Source organism: Homo sapiens, chromosome 3 (assembly GCF_000001405.40).
Source record: "Homo sapiens chromosome 3, GRCh38.p14 Primary Assembly".
Taxonomy (NCBI): Eukaryota; Metazoa; Chordata; class Mammalia; order Primates; family Hominidae; genus Homo; species Homo sapiens.
The window spans coordinates 196,455,147-196,473,696 of NC_000003.12; the positions used below are offsets into that span (position 1 = coordinate 196,455,147).

At 44.9% G+C, this 18,550-nt stretch overlaps 1 protein-coding gene across 1 annotated transcript in view, besides 5 other annotated features; it reads right to left on the reverse strand.

The window, feature by feature from the left end:
• Positions 7,703-7,752: a silencer, noted in NCBI's record as "silent region_15064". NCBI's record gives its function as "represses an Ori minimal core promoter by ATAC-STARR-seq in GM12878 lymphoblastoid cells {active_cell/tissue: GM12878}" and the evidence as "EXISTENCE:reporter gene assay evidence [ECO:0000049][PMID:35858748]".
• Positions 7,873-7,922: an enhancer, noted in NCBI's record as "active region_21090". NCBI's record gives its function as "activates an Ori minimal core promoter by ATAC-STARR-seq in GM12878 lymphoblastoid cells {active_cell/tissue: GM12878}" and the evidence as "EXISTENCE:reporter gene assay evidence [ECO:0000049][PMID:35858748]".
• Positions 7,933-8,022: an enhancer, noted in NCBI's record as "active region_21091". NCBI's record gives its function as "activates an Ori minimal core promoter by ATAC-STARR-seq in GM12878 lymphoblastoid cells {active_cell/tissue: GM12878}" and the evidence as "EXISTENCE:reporter gene assay evidence [ECO:0000049][PMID:35858748]".
• Positions 8,883-9,042: an enhancer, noted in NCBI's record as "active region_21092". NCBI's record gives its function as "activates an Ori minimal core promoter by ATAC-STARR-seq in GM12878 lymphoblastoid cells {active_cell/tissue: GM12878}" and the evidence as "EXISTENCE:reporter gene assay evidence [ECO:0000049][PMID:35858748]".
• Positions 13,637-18,550, reverse strand: part of RNF168 (ring finger protein 168) — a 34,986-nt gene continuing 30,072 nt past the window's right edge. Inside the window, exon 6 of the mRNA NM_152617.4 lies at positions 13,637-17,626. Within this exon, the coding sequence (NP_689830.2) occupies positions 16,673-17,626 (954 nt within the window). The 3' untranslated portion in view covers positions 13,637-16,672. The remainder of the gene's footprint in view (positions 17,627-18,550) is intronic.
• Positions 15,061-15,237: a silencer, noted in NCBI's record as "fragment chr3:196197078-196197254 (GRCh37/hg19 assembly coordinates)". NCBI's record gives its function as "represses an EF-1alpha promoter that drives an FKBP-Casp9 reporter gene in an ReSE screen in HepG2 liver carcinoma cells {active_cell/tissue: HepG2}" and the evidence as "EXISTENCE:reporter gene assay evidence [ECO:0000049][PMID:32094911]".

Consider the following 18,550-nt stretch of genomic DNA (forward strand, 5'->3'; position numbering starts at 1 on the left):
GAGTAGGGTAAAATCATCCCAGCCCTGACACATGGCACAGGCTTGAGGTCAGGTGCTATGTGGTGGCAACCACAAGAAGCTGTTGAGAGTCCAGTGACAACTGGGTACTATAGGCCGGGCCCAGTGGCTCCCGCCTGTAATCCCAGCACTTTGGGAGGCTGAGGCAGGAGGACTGCTTGAGCCCAGGAGTTTGAGATCACCCTGAGCAATATAGGGAGATTTTTTTTTTTTTTTTTGAGACAGAGTCTCACTCTGTTGCCCAGGCTGGAGTGCAGTAGCGTGATCTCGGCTCACTACAACCTCTGCCTCCCAGGCTTAAGTGATTCTCCCACTTCCACCTCCTGAGTAGCTGGGATTACAGGCTCTTGCTGCCACACCCGGCTAATTTTTTTGTATTTTAGTAAAGATGGGGTTTCATCATGTTGCCCAGGGTGGTTTTGAACTGAGCTCAGCCAATCCACCTGCCTTGGCCTCCCAAAGTGCTGGGATTACAGGCAAGAGCCACCGCGCCCGACCAATATAGGGAGATCTTGTCTCTACCATTTTTTTTTTTTTTAATTAGCTGGGCATGGTAGTGCATGGCTGTGGTCTCAGCCACTTAGGAGGCTGAGGTGGGAGGATCATTTGACCCAGGAGTTTGAGGTTGCAGTCAGACGAGATCACGTCACGGCACTCCAGCCTGGGCAACAGAGGGATACCTTTTCTCTAAAAAAACTAGAAGAAAGAACTGGTTGCTGTAGCAGTGGCTGCCATAAGAAAAAGGTAAACCAGAGGAATCGAAAGAAGTGTCTCTACTGTCTCTCTCTGCAAATCTCATTAGCCACTGTCCTGCTTACTCTCAATGAAGACTAGGAAAGCTAGTGCTGTCAAGCAAGAACTCCTTTGACGGCTGGGCGCGGTGGCTCACGCCTGTAATCCCAGCACTTTGGGAGGCCGAGGCAGGCAGATCACCTGAGGTCAGGAGTTTTGAGACCAGACTGGCCAACATGGAGAAACCCCATCTCTACTAAAAATACAAAAATTAGCTGGGCATGGTGGCACATACCTGTAGTCCCAGCTACTTGGGAGGCTGAGGCAGGAGAATCACTTGAACCCGGGAGGAAGAGGTTGCAGTGAGCCGAGATCGTGCCGCTGCACTCCAGCTTGGGTGACAGAGTGAGACTCCATCTCAAAAAAAAAAAAAAAAAAAAAAAAAAAGAACTGCATTTTCTGGTATGAAATCACTGATATGAGCTGACTTACTTTCTTTTTTTTTTTTTTTTTGAGACAGAGTTTCACTCTTGTTGCCCAGGCTGGGGTGGAGTGCAATGGTGTGATCTTGGCTCACTGCAACCTCCACCTCCCGGGTTCAAGTGATTCTCCTGCCTCAGCCTCCCAAGTAGCTGGGATCACAGGCAGGTGCCTCCACACTTGGCTAATTTTGTATTTTTAGTAGAGATGGGGTTTCTCCCTGTTGGTCAGGCTGGTCTTGAACTCCCAACCTCAGGTGATCCGCCCACCTGGGCCTCCCAAAGTGCTGGGATTACAGGCGAGAGCCACTGCACCCGGCCATGAGCTGACTTTCAAAATATGAGGCTGTCAATGACTGTTGGTTTTCAGGGGTGTATTCAATGAACCAAGTTGTCCCTGACTGATGTGATAGATTTATAAACTGTTCTAGTGGTTACTTGTTGGCACAGCTATAGAACAATCTATCTTTTCCTAGGAGTGTGGGAACTCTGATTTGCATTTGGAAATGTTTCTGTAACTCATTATATAGAAAGGGTCAATCTTCCTAATATACAAAGACCACCTAAGGTTGGGGGCAGTGGCCCACCCTCACAATCCCAGCACTTTGGGAGGCCAACGTGGTAGGACTGCTTGAGGCAAGGAGTTGGAGAAGAGTCTGGGCAACATAGTGAGACCCTGTCTCTACCACCCACCCTGCCAAAAAAAAAATTCAGCCAGTTATTGTTGCTCACTCATGTAGTCCCAGCTAATAGGGAGGCTGATGTAGAAGGATCGCTTGAGCCCAGGGGATCAAGGCTGTAGCGAGCTATGATCACGCCACTGCACTCCAGCCTGGGAAACAGCAACATCCTGTTAAAAAAAAAAAAAAAAAAAAAAAGCCCCTAGAAATTGAGAAGAAAACGACCAACAAACCAATAGAAAAATAGGAAAATAACTCAAATAATTACAAATGGCTCAGAACACTGGGGGACAAAAACCTAACCTCAACCCCATTCATAATAAATGTTTTCTCTTTTTTTTTTTTTTTTTTTTTTGAAACAGAGGTTTTGGTCTGTTGCCCAGGCTGGAATGCAGTGGTACAATCTCAGCTCACTGCAACCTCTGCCTCCCGGGTTCAAGCGATTCTCCTGCCTCAGCCTCCCGAATAGCTAGGATTACAGGTGTGCACCACCATACCCAGCTAATGTATTTTTAGTAGAGACAGGGTTTCTCCATGTTGGCCAGGCTGGCCTCGAACTCCTGACCTCAGGTGATCTGCCTGCCTCAGCCTCCCAAAGTGCTGCAATTACAGCCGTGAGCCACCGGGCCTGGCCACGAATGATTTTTTAAAGCCAAAGAAAAGAGCAGTGGTTAGTTCAGAACCTTTTTGGTTGCCTTAGAAACTTAGGGTTTTTGCTATTACATAACATTAAAATTGCCACTTCCTCCTCTAAAGACCTAAGTCTGAGATAATTAGCCCTCATCTTTTTTTCAGACTGTGACCTATTCTTCTCAGCCCCAAAGGAAAATTTGTTTTTAAGATCATGCTTTAAAAAGTACTACTGGTTTGCGCCCAATGCTTGGCAAGTAAAAAACAAATAAAAAGTACTATTAGTTTAAAAAGTTAAAGTCTTCTAAAATCAAACTAGCTAAATTCATGTATTTTTAGCTTTATCCAAATAAAAGATTTAAAATGTTTTCTAAGCATTTGCCAGTAGAAGGAATCAATTCATTTTTTTTTTGTTTATAAGATGCTTTTCCAGAAGTTATTCTTGAGATTCTGAGATTTTTAAGCACCGTTTTCAAGTCAATAAACTGATAATAGTGTTGTACAAATTACAGCACCTCGAGCTCTTTGTGGGTGGAAAGGTTCTCTCACATGTTAAAACCAAGTTGATTTAATATCATGTCAGTGCCTCTTGCTAGGATTGTTACACAACTCCCCTCTCTTGATTTGTTGTAATGTAGGTTTACTCTGGAGAGTTACTTCATTATGATCTATTTTTAATTAATTCCAATGCCCTCCTTTTTTTTTTTTTTTTTTTTTTTGAGATGGAGTCTTGCTGTGTCGCCCAGACTGGAGTGCAATGGTGTGATCTCGGTTCACTGCAACCTCCACCTCCCAGGTTCAGGCGATTCTCCTGCCTCAGCCTCCCAAGTAGCTGGGACTACAGGCACCTGCCATCATGCCTGGCTAATTTTTGTATTTTTAGTAGAGACGGGGTTTCACCATGTTGGCCAGGATGGTCTCGATCTCTTGACCTCATGATCTGCCCACCTCGGCCTCCCAAAGTGCTGGGATTACAGGCGTGAGACACTGTGCCTGGCAAATGCCCTCCTTTTAATAGACAGATCAGGCTGGGCACAGTGGCTCACGCCTGTAATCCCAGCAGTTTGGGAAGCTGAGGTGGGTGGATCACCTGAGGTAAGGAGTTCAAGACCAGCCTGGCCAATATGATGAAATCCCATGTTTACTAAAAATACAAAAATTAGCCAGGCGTGGTGGCACGCGCCTGTAATCCCAGCTACTCTGGAGGCTGAGGCAGGAGAATCGCTTGAACCTAGGAGGCAGAGGTTACAGTGAGCCGAGATTGTACCGCTGCACTCCAGCCTGGGAAAAAAAAAAAGATCAAATCTTATCCTGGTGTTCTATTATTTCTGGATTGTATCCTTCTAGGAGCTCTGGGAATTTAGTGATGATGTCTGATGGCTTAATTTCCTATGGAGGAAATTTCAAAGAGGGTTCACCTGGTAGGTGAGGAATTGTGGGATTTGTAGGGCTTGTAGGGGCATAGGAAAATGGGACAATGGTAGCTTTAGGTGACCACCCGTTTGTGTATGGGGATGGCAGACACAATCTTATTCTCTGAATCATCAGCTCTGGACATAATCAGAACAACAACAACAACAAAAACTAAAGAATTGGAAGTGCTTTCTGCAGGTACTTAAAGGTTCTCTAGGTGGCCGGGCACGGTGGCTCATGCTGGTAATCCCAGCACTTTGGGAGGCCGAGGCGGGTGGATCACTTGAGGTCAGGAGTTCGAGACCAGCCTGGCCAACATGGTGGAACCCCGTCTCTACTAAAAATACAAAAATTAGCTGGGCATGGTGGTGAGCGCCTGTAGTTCCAGCTACTCAGGAGGCTGAGGCAGGAGAGTCACTTGAACCTGGGAGGCAGAGGTTGCAGTGAGCCGAGATCATGCCACTGCACTCCAGCCTGGGTGACAAAGCAAGACTCCATCTCAAAAACATAAAATAAATGAAAATAAAGGTTCTCCAGTTTTCTCCTATAGATCCTTCATGAGGCTTAACTTCTCCTGGGAATTTGTGGATAAGCATCATTTTTCCACACATACTAACACCCATCTTGTCTAGATAGGAGCGTTATAGGTTTTTGCCTTAGACGTTTCAAGACACCTTAGTCCAGAATCTATTAAAGGAAAACATCTCTGGTGTGTTTTCTTTCCCCCTCTTGTCTTGCAGCGTCAAGCCTGCCATTCTAAACTCTGCTGATATAAAAACCATTTGCCCAGACTCCTTTGCCAGTTGGCTTCTTGTAAAGTTCTATCAATAAGCGGTTCTAGGAAGGAGGAAAGGAAAAGGGGGCTACTTTTTTTTTTTTTTTTTTTTTGAGACGGAGTCCTGTTGCATCACCCAGGCTGGAGTGCAGTGGCATGGTCTCGGCTCACTGTGACCTCCGTCTCCCAGGTTCAAGCGATTCTCCTGCCTCAGTCTCCTGAATAGCTGGGACTACAGGCGTGTGCCACCACACTGGCTAATTTATTGTATTTTTAGTAGAGACGGGGTTTCACCATGTTGGCCAGGCTGGTCTTGAACTCCTGACCTAGTGATCTGCCCCCCTCGGCCTCCCAAAGTGCTGGGATTACAGGCGTGAGCCACTGCGCCTGGCCAAGGAGGCTTCTTTCTTCTTTGTTCCTCTTGTCCATGTTGCCCAGCAGTGCCAGTTGACTCCAGCCTCCAAATTATTCCAGCTCTTCTAGAAGTAGACTCACTGGGACATTTCAGAGGTAGCAGCAGCAGCTGGGAGGTATTTCCTCCTCAGAGATCTGCACACTTCTGCAGGGTCTGCGGGGTCCACCTACCCCAGCCCTCAACTCCTACATTCTAGTGATTGAAACCCTTCCCTTCAGTTTCTCAGCAGCCGCTTCCTCCGCTTATCATCCTTAGGTGATCTCAGTGTTCCCTTTTGCTCCAAAACCTGTGTAACCAATTCCCTCTACTGAATACCCTCTGCTGAAATCCTTATTGTGATTTGTTTTCTCAACTAGACCCTGATCAATGCCCCAGTCATAACCAGCATGAGCTCTCCTCCTCATCCTGCAACTCAGGAAGTCCACAGTGAGTCAGTCTAACCTGAGGTGAAAAGAGACAACTGAACGTTTCATGAGCCTTAAGACTTGGAGGGCAATGATGGAAAGTATGGACAGGGGCCGGGTGCAGTGGCTCACACCTGTAATCCCAGCACTTTGGGAGGCTGAGGCAGGTGGATCACCTGAGGTCAGGTGTTCAAGACCAGCCTGGCCAAGATGGTGAAACCCGATCTCTATTAAAAATACAAACATTAGCCGGGCATGGTCACGCATGCCCGTAGTCCCAGCTACTCTGGAGGCTGAGGCAGGAAAATCACTTGAACCCGGGAGGTGGAGGTTGCAGTGAGCCGAGATGGCGCCACTGCACTCGAGTCTGGGAGACAGAGCAAGAGTCTGTCTGAAAAAAAAAAGAAAAAAGAAAAAGAAATGAAAAAAAAGAAAGTATGGACAGACAGACTCAATTTATGATCCCTCCCCGAGAGAGACTTCTGAATTCAAGCTTTAGGGATGAAGCCTAACTGTAGCAGCCTGACACCACAAAAGTCAAGGTCGCCCCCAACTCACATTGAACTCAGGGTCCATGTTACAAATCCTGCCAAAACCAGGCAAAATATTCCAGAAAAAAATCAGACTCAAAATTTAAAGTTATGATTATTTATTATAACTTTTACACAGGAAGAAGAAATGGGTAAAAATAAAATACAACTCTCCTCAATACACGCTCAACTCTCCCACAATACAGACTCAACTCCCCTACAATACAGACTCAACTCCCCTACAATACAGACTCAACTTCCCTATAATACAGACTCAACTCTCCCACAATAGACTCAACTCCCCTACAATACAGACTCAACTCTCCCACAATAGACTCAACTGCCCTACAATACAGACTCAACTCCCCTACAATACAGACTCAACTCGCCTACAATACACACTCAACTCTCCCACAATACAGACTCAACTCCCCTACAATACAGACTCAACTTCCCTATAATACAGACTCAACTCTCCCACAATAGACTCAATTGCCCTACAATACAGACTCAACTCCCCTACAATACAGACTCAACTCTCCCACAATAGACTCAACTCCCCTACAATACAGACTCAACTCTCCCACAATAGACTCAACTGCCCTACAATACAGACTCAACTCCCCTACAATACAGACTCAACTCCCCTACAATACACACTCAACTCTCCCACAATACAGACTCAACTCTCCCACAATACAGACTCAACTCCCCTACAATACAGACTCAACTCCCCTACAATACAGACTCAACTCCCCTACAATACAGACTCAACTCCCCTACAATACAGACTCAACTCTCCCACAATACAGACTCAACTCTCCCACAATACAGACTCAACTCTCCCAATACAGACTCAACTATCCCACTGTACAGACTCAACTATCCCACAGTAGACTCAACTCTCGCACAATACACTCAACTCTCCCACAATACAGACTCAACTCCCCTACAATACAGACTCAACTCCCCTACAATACAGACTCAACTCCCCTACAATACAGACTCAACTCCCCCACAATACAGACTCAACTCCCCTACAATACAGACTCAACTCCCCTACAATACAGACTCAACTCCCCTACAATACAGACTCAACTCCCCTACAATACAGACTCAACTCCCCTACAATACAGACTCAACTCTCCCACAATACAGACTCAACTCTCCCACAATACAGACTCAATTCTCCCACAATACAGACTCAACTCCCCTGCAATACAGACTCACCTATCCCACAATACAGACTCAATTATCCCAAAATACAGACTCAACTATCCCACAATACAGACTGAACTCTCCCACAATGCAGACTCAACTCGCACAATACAGACTCAACTCTCCCACAATACAGACTCAACTCCCCCACAATACAGACTCAACTCCCCTACAATACAGACTCAACTCCCCTACAATATAGACTCAACTCCCCCACAATACAGACTCAACTCCCCCACAATACAGACTCAACTCCCCTACAATACAGACTCAACTCCCCTACAATATAGACTCAACTCTCCCACAATAGACTCAACTCCCCCACAATACAGACTCAACTCCCCCAAAATACAGACTCAACTCTCCTACAATACACTCAACTCTCCCACAATGGAGACTCAACTCCCCTACAGTAGACTCAACTCTCCCACAATAGGCTCAACTCTCACAATACAGACTCAAGTCTCCCACAATACAGACTCAACTCTCCTACAATACAGACTCAACTCTCGCACAATACAGACTCAACTCTCCCACAATAGACTCAACTCTCCCACAATACAGACTCAACTCTCCCACAATACAGACTCAACTCTCCCACAGTACAGACTCAACTCTCCCACAATACAGACTCAACTCTCCCACAATACAGACTCAACTCTCCCACAATACAGACTTAACTCTCCCACAGTACAGACTCAACTCTCCCACAGTACAGACCCAACTCTCCCACAATACAGACTCAACTCTCTCACAGTACAGACTCAACTCTCCCACAGTACAGACTCAACTCTCCCACAGTACAGACTCAACTCTCCCACAGTACAGACTCAACTCTCACAATACAGACTCAACTCTCCCACAGTACAGACTCAACTCTCCCACAGTACAGACTCAACTCTCCCACAGTACAGACTCAACTCTCACAATACAGACTCAACTCTCCCACAGTACAGACTCAACTCTCCCACAGTACAGACTCAACTCTCCCACAGTACAGACTCAACTCTCCCACAGTACAGACTCAACTCTCCCACAGTACAGACTCAACTCTCCCACAGTACAGACTCAACTCTCCTACATTACAGACTCAACTCTCCTACAATACAGGCTGAACTCTGCAGTCTTATTTTTCTTGTATGTCCTTCCAAATGGATTGTGTCTTTAAAAAATAACTAAATTTTTTAATATAATAGAGATGGGGTTTTGACATGTTGCCCAAGCTGGTCTCGAATTCCTGGGCTTAGGCAATCCTCCCAGCTCGGCCTCCCATAGTGTTGTGATTACAGGTAGGATTACTTTGCACCTGCATGATCCTGCCTTTTTAATACCTCCAAGTTTTTAGTGTCTGTTTTCCAAATTTTTATCCACACCACATACGCAGAGCTAGTATGAGAACTTGAGTAAGTCACAAGGTATTTCTGAGAATCAGTTTCTTCTGGAGCCAAGGTCTTTTGTGACCCAGGATACATCTGGCAGAGAAGAGGTAAGAGGAGGCTTCATCAGAAGACAGATCAGTGCAATCTACTGGATGCCGTATCTGGGGACTTACGGCAGCACAAAGTCACTGGATGACTCCAATAAGTGAGACTCTTCCAAGAAAAAAGTGGGGCTGGCAGAGCAGTGGGGGTGGAGAAGAGCCAGAAGGAAGGAACTGTCACTTATTAAGGATTATTTTTCTCAGGGGCCATGCCAGCTGCTCTACACATATTACTTACCATAGCCACTCTGGTGGTTACATTATGATATTCATTACAATCTTTTTCTTTTTTCTTTTAAAGACAGACTCTCGCTCTGCCGCCCGGGCTGGAGCAGTGGTGCCATCTCTGCTTTTGCAACTTCTGCCTCCCAGGTTCAAGTGATTCTCCTGCCTCAGCCTCCTGAGTAGCTGGGATTACAGGCGTGCACCACCACACCCAGCTAGTATTTGTATTTTTAGTAAAGACAGGGTTTCAGCATGTTGGTCAGGCTGGTCTCGAACTCGACCTCAGGTGATCCACCCGCCTCGGCCTCCCAGTGTTCTGGGATTACAGGTGTGAGCCACCACCCCAGCCTCATTACAAATTTAAAAGTGAGGTAATGAAAGCTAACTAGTTCCCGCAAGGTCACACAAGTAGAGACCGAGTTAAAAAGAAAATTATTTTATTTTTTCCCTCCTGCACGACATGACTCTGTTTTGATTCTCAAACTCATGTCAGTTACTGGGCCTGCCAGGTGTGGTGACTCATACCTGTCATCCCAAAGCTTTGGGAGGCCGAGGCGGGAGGATTGCTTGCAGCCAGGAGTTCAAGACCAGCCTGGGCAACACAGTGAGACCCCCATCTCTACCAAAACAAATTGTTTGAATTAGCAGGGTGTTGTGGCATGTTCCTGTAGTCCTAGCAACCTTTCCACTTGGGAGGCTGAGGCAGAAGGACTGCTGGAGTCCAGGAGTTGGAGGTCACAGTGAGCTATGATCGCACCACTGCGCTCCAGCCTGGGGAACAGAGTAAGACTCTGTCTCTCAAAAAAAAAAAAAAAAGTTATGGATCCTATAGTTCAATTTCCTTTTTGGTTTTTTTTTTTTTTTTTTAGATACTCTCACACTCTGTTGCCCAAGCTGAAGTGCAGCCTTGACCTCCCAGGCTCAAGTGATCCTCCTGCTTCAGCCTCCCAAGTGGCTGGGACTACAGGCTGAAGCCACCATGCCCAGCTAATTTTTTTTTTCTTTTCTTTCTGTAGAGACAAGGTCTCACTATGTTGCCCAAGGTGGTTTCAAACCCCTGGGCTTGAGCAATCCTCCCACCTCAGCCTTCCAAGTAGCTGGAACTCCAGGCACGCACCACCACACCTGGCTAATTTTGAAATTTTATGTAGAGTTGGATTCTCATTGTATTGCCCAGGTTGGTCTTTAACTAACTCCTGGACTCAAGTGATCATCCTGCCTCAGCCTCCCAAAGTGCTGGTATTAAAGGCATGAGCCACGTCGCCCAGCCTTATCTTACAAACTAGCTCAGACTAGCAGGGAAAAAAGTGGTTGCAAACATCAGTTTGCCTTTTAGGTCTCCCCTCTCCAGAATCTTAGCCCCTTTGGCCCTCATTGTTTCAGTAGCTCACTAATGCTTTTAAGTAATTTTATATTTTTATCTGGCTTCTCCCATTGTTCACAGGATTGTAAATGTCCTGCAATCCAATCTGAAAAGCGTAAGTTTTGTTTTTCAAATATTTTAAAAATAGTTCACTAAAGCTAAGTAAGTCAAAAATTCCTCACAATGCTATTTTCCTTTCTTTTTCCTTCCTTTTTTTTTTCTTTCTCTTTCCCCTTCCTTTTTTTTTTTTTTTTGAGACAGGGTCTCACTGTCACCCAGGCTGGAGTGCAGTGGTACAATCTTAGAATCTCAGCTCACTGTAACCTCCGCCTCTCAGGCTCAAGCGATCCTCCACCTCAGCCTCCCATGTAGCTGGGACTACAAGCGTGCACCACACTTGGTAGAGAAGGGGGTTTCACCATGTTGCTCAGGCTGGTCTTGAACTCCTGAGCTCTAGCAATTTGTCCACCTCAGTCTCTCAAAGTGCTGGGATTACAGGCATAAGCCACCACACCAGGCCTCTTTTACTTTTTTTTTTTTGAGACAGAGTCTCGCTCTGTTGCCAGGCTGGAGTGCAGTGGCGCGATCTCGGCTCACTGCAACCTCCGCCTCCTGGGTTCAAGCGATTCTCCTGCCTCAGCCTCCTGAGTAGCTGGGACTACAGGCACCCGCCACCATGCCCAGCTAATTTTTGTATTTTTAGTAGAGATGGGGTTTCACCATGTTGGCCAGGATGGTCTCGATCTCTTGACCTCGTGATCCGCCCGCCTCGGCCTCCCAAAGTGTTGGGATTACAGGCATGAGCCACCGCGCCCGGCTACTTTTTTTTTTTTTTTTTTGAGACAGAGTCTTGCTCTGTCGCCCAGTCTGGAGTGCAGTGGCGCGATCTGGGCACACTGCAACCTCCACCTCCTGGGTTCAAGCAATTGTCCTGCCTCAGCCTCCTGAGTAGCTGGGATTACAGGCGCCCGCCACCATGCCCAGCTAATTTTTTTGTATTTTTAGTAGAGATGGAGTTTCACCATGTTGGCCAGGCTGGTCTCAAGCTCCTGACCTCAGGTGATCCACCTGCCTCGGCCTCCCAAAGTACTGAGATTACAGGCGTGAGCCACCGCGCCCGGCCCTACATTTTGCTTTCAAAATTTTGGGGGCGGCCAGAGAGACAGAGCGACACACTGTCTCAAAAAACAAAACAAACAAACAAAAACTAAAACAAATAAAATCTTTTTCGAGACAGGGTCTCACTCTATCACCTAGGCTGGAGCGCAGTGGTGCAATCTTGGTTCACTGAAGCCCTGACCTCTGGGACTCAGGCGACCCTCCCACCTCAGCCTCTTGAGCAGCTGGGACCACAGGCGTGCACCCCCACAACTGGTTAATTTTCCTACTTTCTGTAGAGATGGGGTTTCACCATGTTGCCCAGGCTGGTCTCGAACTCTTGGGCTCAAGCGATCTGCCTGCCTCAGCCTCCCAAAGTGCTGGGATTACAGTCCTGAGCCACCATGCCCAGCCCCTTTTTTCTCTTAATGCTGAAAAAGCTTTCCTGAATTATAATTTTTAAAACTTAAAAGGCAGAAAAGGGCCATCTACAGTGGTGCAGACTGAGATTTATAAGCTTCCTTTATCTTGCAATATTTTAAGAACATTTTAAGTTTTTTTTTTTTTTTTGAGACGCAGTCTTGCCCTGTCGCCCAGGCTGGAGTGCAGTGGAGCGATCTCGGCTCACTGCAACCTCCGCCTCCTGGGTTCAAGCGATTCTCCGGCCTGAGCCTCCCCAGCAGCTGGGACTACAGGCCTGGCACCACGCTTGGCTGATTTTTTTTTTGTATTTTTAGTAGAGACGGGGTTTCACCACGTTGGCCAGGCTGGTCTCAAATTCCTCACCTCAAGTGATCTGCCCACCTCAGCCTCGCAGTGCAGTGTTAGGATTACAGGTGTGAGCCACTGAGTCCAGCCACATACTCCCTTCTCAAGGTGTTTTCTGGGTATTCACCCTGATTTTGGGGGCGGGTTGGAGTTATGAAAAACAACATCACAGACTTCCTATAAAGACCTTTTTTTTGAGATGGAGTCTTGCTCTGTTGTCCAGTCTGGGGTGCAATGGCGTGATCTCTCGGCTCACTGCAACCTCCACCTCCTGGGTTCAAGTGATTTTTGTGCCTCAGCCTCCCGAGTAGCTGGGACTACAGGCACCCGCCTAATTTTTGTATTTTTAATAGAGATGGGATTTCTCCACGTTGGCCAGGCTGGTTTCAAACTCCTGACCTCAGGTGATCCACCTGCCTCGGCCTCCCAAAGTTGTTGGGATTACAAGGCATGAGCCACCGTGCCTGACCCCCCGACCTTTTTTGTTTTTGTTTTTTTGAGGCACATGTCACCATGCCCGGCTTATTTTTATTTTGAGACAGGCGTGAGCAAGCACACCCAGCCAAAAATTTCTCCTACATGTCATTCTGCATACATGTGAAGACAGCCTTAAGAAATTCCTAGAATAGTCAAACGTACCTCCAGAGATTTTCAATTATCTATTCATACCAAGCAATGTATAAGAATGCCTAGTTCCTCGCAGTCTTGCCAAGATTAAAACAAAACAAAAAATTCCCTTATCTTTGCTAATCTGAAGGATGAACAAACTTATGAGTATTAGCATAAGATTATGCATCTCTTCACCTAATAGTTCAGAACCGGTTATAGTTACTTTCTTGTGAATGATGTTTCTTGGGAACATACGCATTTCTAGTTCTCCTATTGAGGACTTTTCTTTTTTTTCTTTTTTTTTTTTTTTTGAGACGGAGTCTCCAGTCTGTCACCCAGGCTGGAGTGCAGTGGCACAATCTTGGCTCACTGCAACTTCCGCCTCCTGGGTTCAAGCAATTCTCTGTCTCAGCCTCCCGAATAGTTGGGATTACAGGCACACGCCACCACACCCGGCTAATTTTTGTATTTTTAGTAGAGACGGCGTTTCCCCATGTTGGCCAGGCTGGTTTCAAACTCCTGACTTCAGGTGATCTGCCTGCCTCGGCCTCCCAAAGTGCTGGGATTACAGGTGTGAGCCACCATGCACGGCCGAGTTATTGGTCTTTTCTTAATGAACTGGAGGATACTTTACATAAAGGAAATTAGCTCTTTGTGATGAACTGCAACTATTTCTTCCCAAGTTTGCCACAGCTTCCAATTTCCCTTGATGGTAGTTTTTGTTATGCAGAACTTTTAATTTTCATGTAGCTGATTTTTACATATTTTTAAGTTGTGGTAAAATACACATAATAATCCATTTTTATTTTTAGTATTTTATTTTTCAGATTCTCAGCCTCTGCACAGCCTTAGTACTCCCTGAGAAATTCAGTGTTTGCATATCCTTTCCACAAAAATGAGAGGAAAAAGGACCAGTACCTGCTAGTGACTGATACATTTATTAGTTTCTAACAAAAAGGCATACATGGTAGGCAGAGTAGAAATACTAACAGAAATTAGTTTATCTTGAAACCAATTTTAGTCAGGAAGACTTCTTCACAGAGAATGAGCTGAATATATAAATCCCAAATATATCACACCATATATGTGATATATTTACACCTAAATATATCACACCCTCCTTTTTGGTCACAGACTATTCCAGGAAGATTAAATAGATAACGTTTAATTTGAGGCATTCAAGAATGTCCACCCTAAAACTGAAAGTGAAATTGCTCTTAGAGAAAAATTGGTTTGATGAGAAGATTGATCTTAGCCTGTCTCAGACAAATTTGGTTTATTTATTTTTACTTAACGACCCATGTGATAGTATAGTTGCAAGCTATACTTCATTTAACTACAATCATTACTCAGAGGACAATCACCTTAAGAGGCAAATTAAGTTTTAAATTAGCACAGAATTTATAATTACCCAATCAGCATTGACATAGATGCCATCAGGTATGCAAAGATTAACAAAATTCTATTACCAACCTTAGAGGAAAAAAACTTAATGACATACAGAAATACTGGCAAATTTAAGCTAGAATTAGCTCCAGGACATTTTATCTTATTTTCACATTAAAAGAATAGATTACTAGATATCAGCAGAAATGCTGTTAAAGCTATTTTTTACTAATAGTTGTTCATATTAATGAAACAAAAGATCAATAGTCTCTGAGCTAAATTTCACAAAATGAAATCAGTGTCTTCTGATTTAACTTTCAGGAGTAAGAAAGGGCAAAACCCAAGCACCATACTTTCTATTTCTGTTCATAAACTCAAATAAAAGCAGTATCAACACAAATGATCATATAAGAAAACACGTGGTTATGTTTCAGGTTCCACAACATAAGACACTGTGAGGTAACTCTCCTGTAATACATTCCCATTTTTTTCTGGAATAGCAGATGCATAGAAATGCAGGTTTCCAAAAATTCACCCAATTTAGTAACTAATTTTGATTCTGATGCCTGATAGTAGGGTGTGAAAAGCTGTAAAACCCAAATGTTTCCTGTGTTCTTTCACAAGGACAAGGGAAGAGGATGCTCTGCCAAACTGCCCCTGCTGCGTCATAGTGGACCAGTTTCAATGATCCAGACTGTCAGTCACCCCATCCAGCCTCATCCTCATCTGGACCCATTTCTCACCACCCAATCAGTTTCAATGATCCAGACTGTCAGTCACCCCATCCAGCCTCATCCTCATCTGGACCCATTTCTCACCACCCAATCAGTTTCAATGATCCAGACTGTCAGTCACCCCATCCAGCCACATCCTCATCTGGACCAGTTTCTGACCACCCAATCAGTTTCAATGATCCAGACTGTCAGTCACCCCATCCAGCCACATCCTCATCTGGACCAGTTTCTGACCACCCAATCAGTTTCAATGATCCAAACTGTCAGTCACCCCACCCAGCCTCATCTGGACCAGTTTCTGACGACCCAATCAGTTTCAATGATCCAGACTGTCAGTCACCCCATCCAGCCTCATCCTCATCTGGACCCGTTTCTGACCAACCACCCAATCAGTTTCAATGATCCAGACTGTCAGTCACCCCATCCAGCCTCAGCCTCATCCTCATCTGGACCCGTTTCTGACCAACCACCCAATCAGTTTCAATGATCCAGACTGTCAGTCACCCCATCCAGCCTCAGCCTCATCCTCGTCTGGACCCGTTTCTGACGACCTAATCAGTTTCAATGATCCAGACTGTCAGTCACCCCATCCAGCCTCATCTGGACCAGTTTCCGACGACCCAATCTGTTTCAATGATCTGGACTGTCAGTCACCCCATCCAGCCTCATCCCAGCTCTTAACTCCTTCTGCATAGTTCAGTTTCCTTTCTGGCAACTAATTCCCAATTTCCTAGAAAACCCTGATTTTCTGATTTAACACTGATTCGAATCCACTTTAAACCAAAGGAAACAGGCCGGGCGTGGTGGCTCACGCCTATAATCCCAGCACTCTGGGAGGCCGAAGCAGGTGGATCACCTGAGGACAGGAGTTCAAGACCAGCCTGGCCAACATGGTGAAATCCCATCTCTACTAAAAGTACAAAAAAAAAAAAAAATTAGCTGGGTAGCTGGGTGTAGTGGCACATGCCTATGATCCCAGCTACTCGGGAGGCTGAGGCAGAAGAATCGCTTGAACTCGGGAGGCGGAGGTTGCAGTGAGCTGAGATCGCGCCATTGCACACCAGCCTGCGTGACAGAGCAAGACTCTGTCTCCAAAAAAAAAAAAAAAAAAAAAAAAAAAAAAAAATCTGGGATTTCCCACATATGAATATGAATCCAAATTTTGAAACTCCGTCTAAAAAAAAAAAACAAACACCAAAGGAAATGCTACAATGCTGAAAATTGAATTAAATTGGAGATGGAAATTAGATTACTTTAGGAAAACCTTTTGAGTACTCTGTAAACATTGGACAATAGCAAGAAAATGGATTTTAAACCCTGCATGGGTTCCTTAATCACTCAGAATAGTATAATCTTGCTTTGATTACCAGTCACGACAAAAAGGTGAGCAAAGGCCATAAAACATGCAGTTTTTGGAAAGACAATGGCACTTGAAGATTTCCTGGAGTTGGCCAAAGCTTAAGATATCTCTAAGAATTGTAAAGCTTAATACACATCTGTTATTAAGAAGGGAAACGACAGGGGACCCCTGCTTACCGCTGAGCTGTGCAGAAGCTCATGTGTCTATGCAGTCCTTACAATCACACAGACCTTCATTAAGGACAATGAGTGTGCCTAGAGAGCAGCATGAATGACACATGGATGAAGATTCCATGATAGGAAAGAGCTTCACATTCCAGCTTTACTAGATCACAAAGCACTCCCTTTACCAGGCCTTACTTTGTGCATCTCTGAAACATCTGAAAAACACTTTTCTGTGAAATGCTAGGCTGTAGGGAGTGAGCACTTTTGGATACCTTACAGTGATCTCTAGTAGAATTTGGCATCTTTCTTCTATTAACTGACTGCTTCAACTGCATCTTTAAAGACACTTGCCTATTTTTGTCCCTTGAGCCTCTCTCTGGTGTTGGATGCTTTGTGTGAGTTTGCCTTTTGAAGTTCCCATCTTTGGGATTCTTCCTCTGTCCATTTAGCACTTTGTCTGGAGGGGAGGATGTAGCGCGTAAGTGATACTCATCTGGGGATCCTTTTTGCCGGTTTGGCACCATTTGCTCTTTATCCACCTCCTTCTGAAGTTGTAATGCCAATAACCTGTCCTGTTCTTCTTGTTTATGTCTCTCAAACAGTAGATGCTCCAAATCTATCAGTTTTTGGGTAAAGTTTATTTCTGTTTCCTCTTGATCTGGGGAAGATTCGGGGGACACTTTTCTTCTTTTTGCAGAAAAGCATGGATCCTTGACTGCTTCAAAGGAAGATTCTTGGTTTTTTCTTTTGGAAATCTCCTTACTGATCAGTAGGCACGACTCTTCATTTTCTGTCTCACCTGTGTTGTTTCCATTTGTCTGTGTCACCCCTGATGTGGGGGCGCACCCACTTTCTGTTCTGCCACAAGGCATAACTGCAGTTTCTTTCGAGTAGGGAACTCTGGTTTTAGGTCGCTCGTGACTTAAGACACATAACTCTTTCCCATGATTGCTTGGTCTTGTTTTGACGTTTCCTTCATGGTACCATTCGGCACCACAGGCACATAACCATGGCATAGGGGACTCTATTGAAGAATCTGCACCTTGTTCTCCAACTCCAAGGGATATCTGTGGAGAAAGTGTCGGCATATCTTCTATTTCTGTGTCTTGCCCTGTTGGGCTTTTCCTATCACTACTGTCAATGTCCTGTAGAAAACAGAAAAAGACTGAGTGAACCAGGGGAAAATATCAAATCATAAGATGTAAGTCTAATTACACTGATACTACAGCTGGACTGTCACTATACATTATTATTACTAATAAGGTATATATTTCTTTCTTTCTTTTCTTTTTTTTTCAGAGTCTTGCTCTGTCGCCCAGGCTGGAGTGCAGTGGCGCGGTCTCAGCTCACTGCAACCTTCACCTCCCAGGTTCAAGTGATTCTCCTGCCTCAGCCTCCCAAATAGGTGTATATTTATTCTTAATAGTATTTTTATTTCATGGGCAAATTTAGATTAAGCTATTACTTCATTTTCACTCCCATGAAAACCTACAGATTAAAACCCACAGACTAGATTCCAAATATGGCCAATAGCTGGTATCAGGACCTGACCTTCTTTCACCTTACAAAGGTCTGCCAGCATAGGGGTTTTTAACTCTTTTCTCTACCGTGGACCCTCCTTTTGGCATTTAGGTGAAGCTTACAGACCACTTCTGAGAATAATGTTTTTAACTAAAAAATTAAGATATACAGTAGCTTTACAAAAGGAACAATTTATGTTGTAAACACAATCATTAAAAGGTTCAAAAAAATGTGAGGTAATAATGTGCATCTATAATACAGTAAATAATAGGATCTACCAGCCAGTCTAATAACTCATAATACCCAATTATCTGTGTCACCCCTGATGTAGTACACCCACTCTCTGTTTTGCCACAAGGCACAACTGCAGTCTAATACCAATGTAGAGATAAGTATAAATGATATTTAAAGATATCTGTAACATGGCTGGGCACGGTGGCTCATGCCTGTAATCACAGCACTTCCGGAGGCTGAGGCGGACAGCTCACCTGAGGTCAGGAGTTTGAGACCAGCCTGGCCAACATGATGAAACCCCATCTCTACTAAAA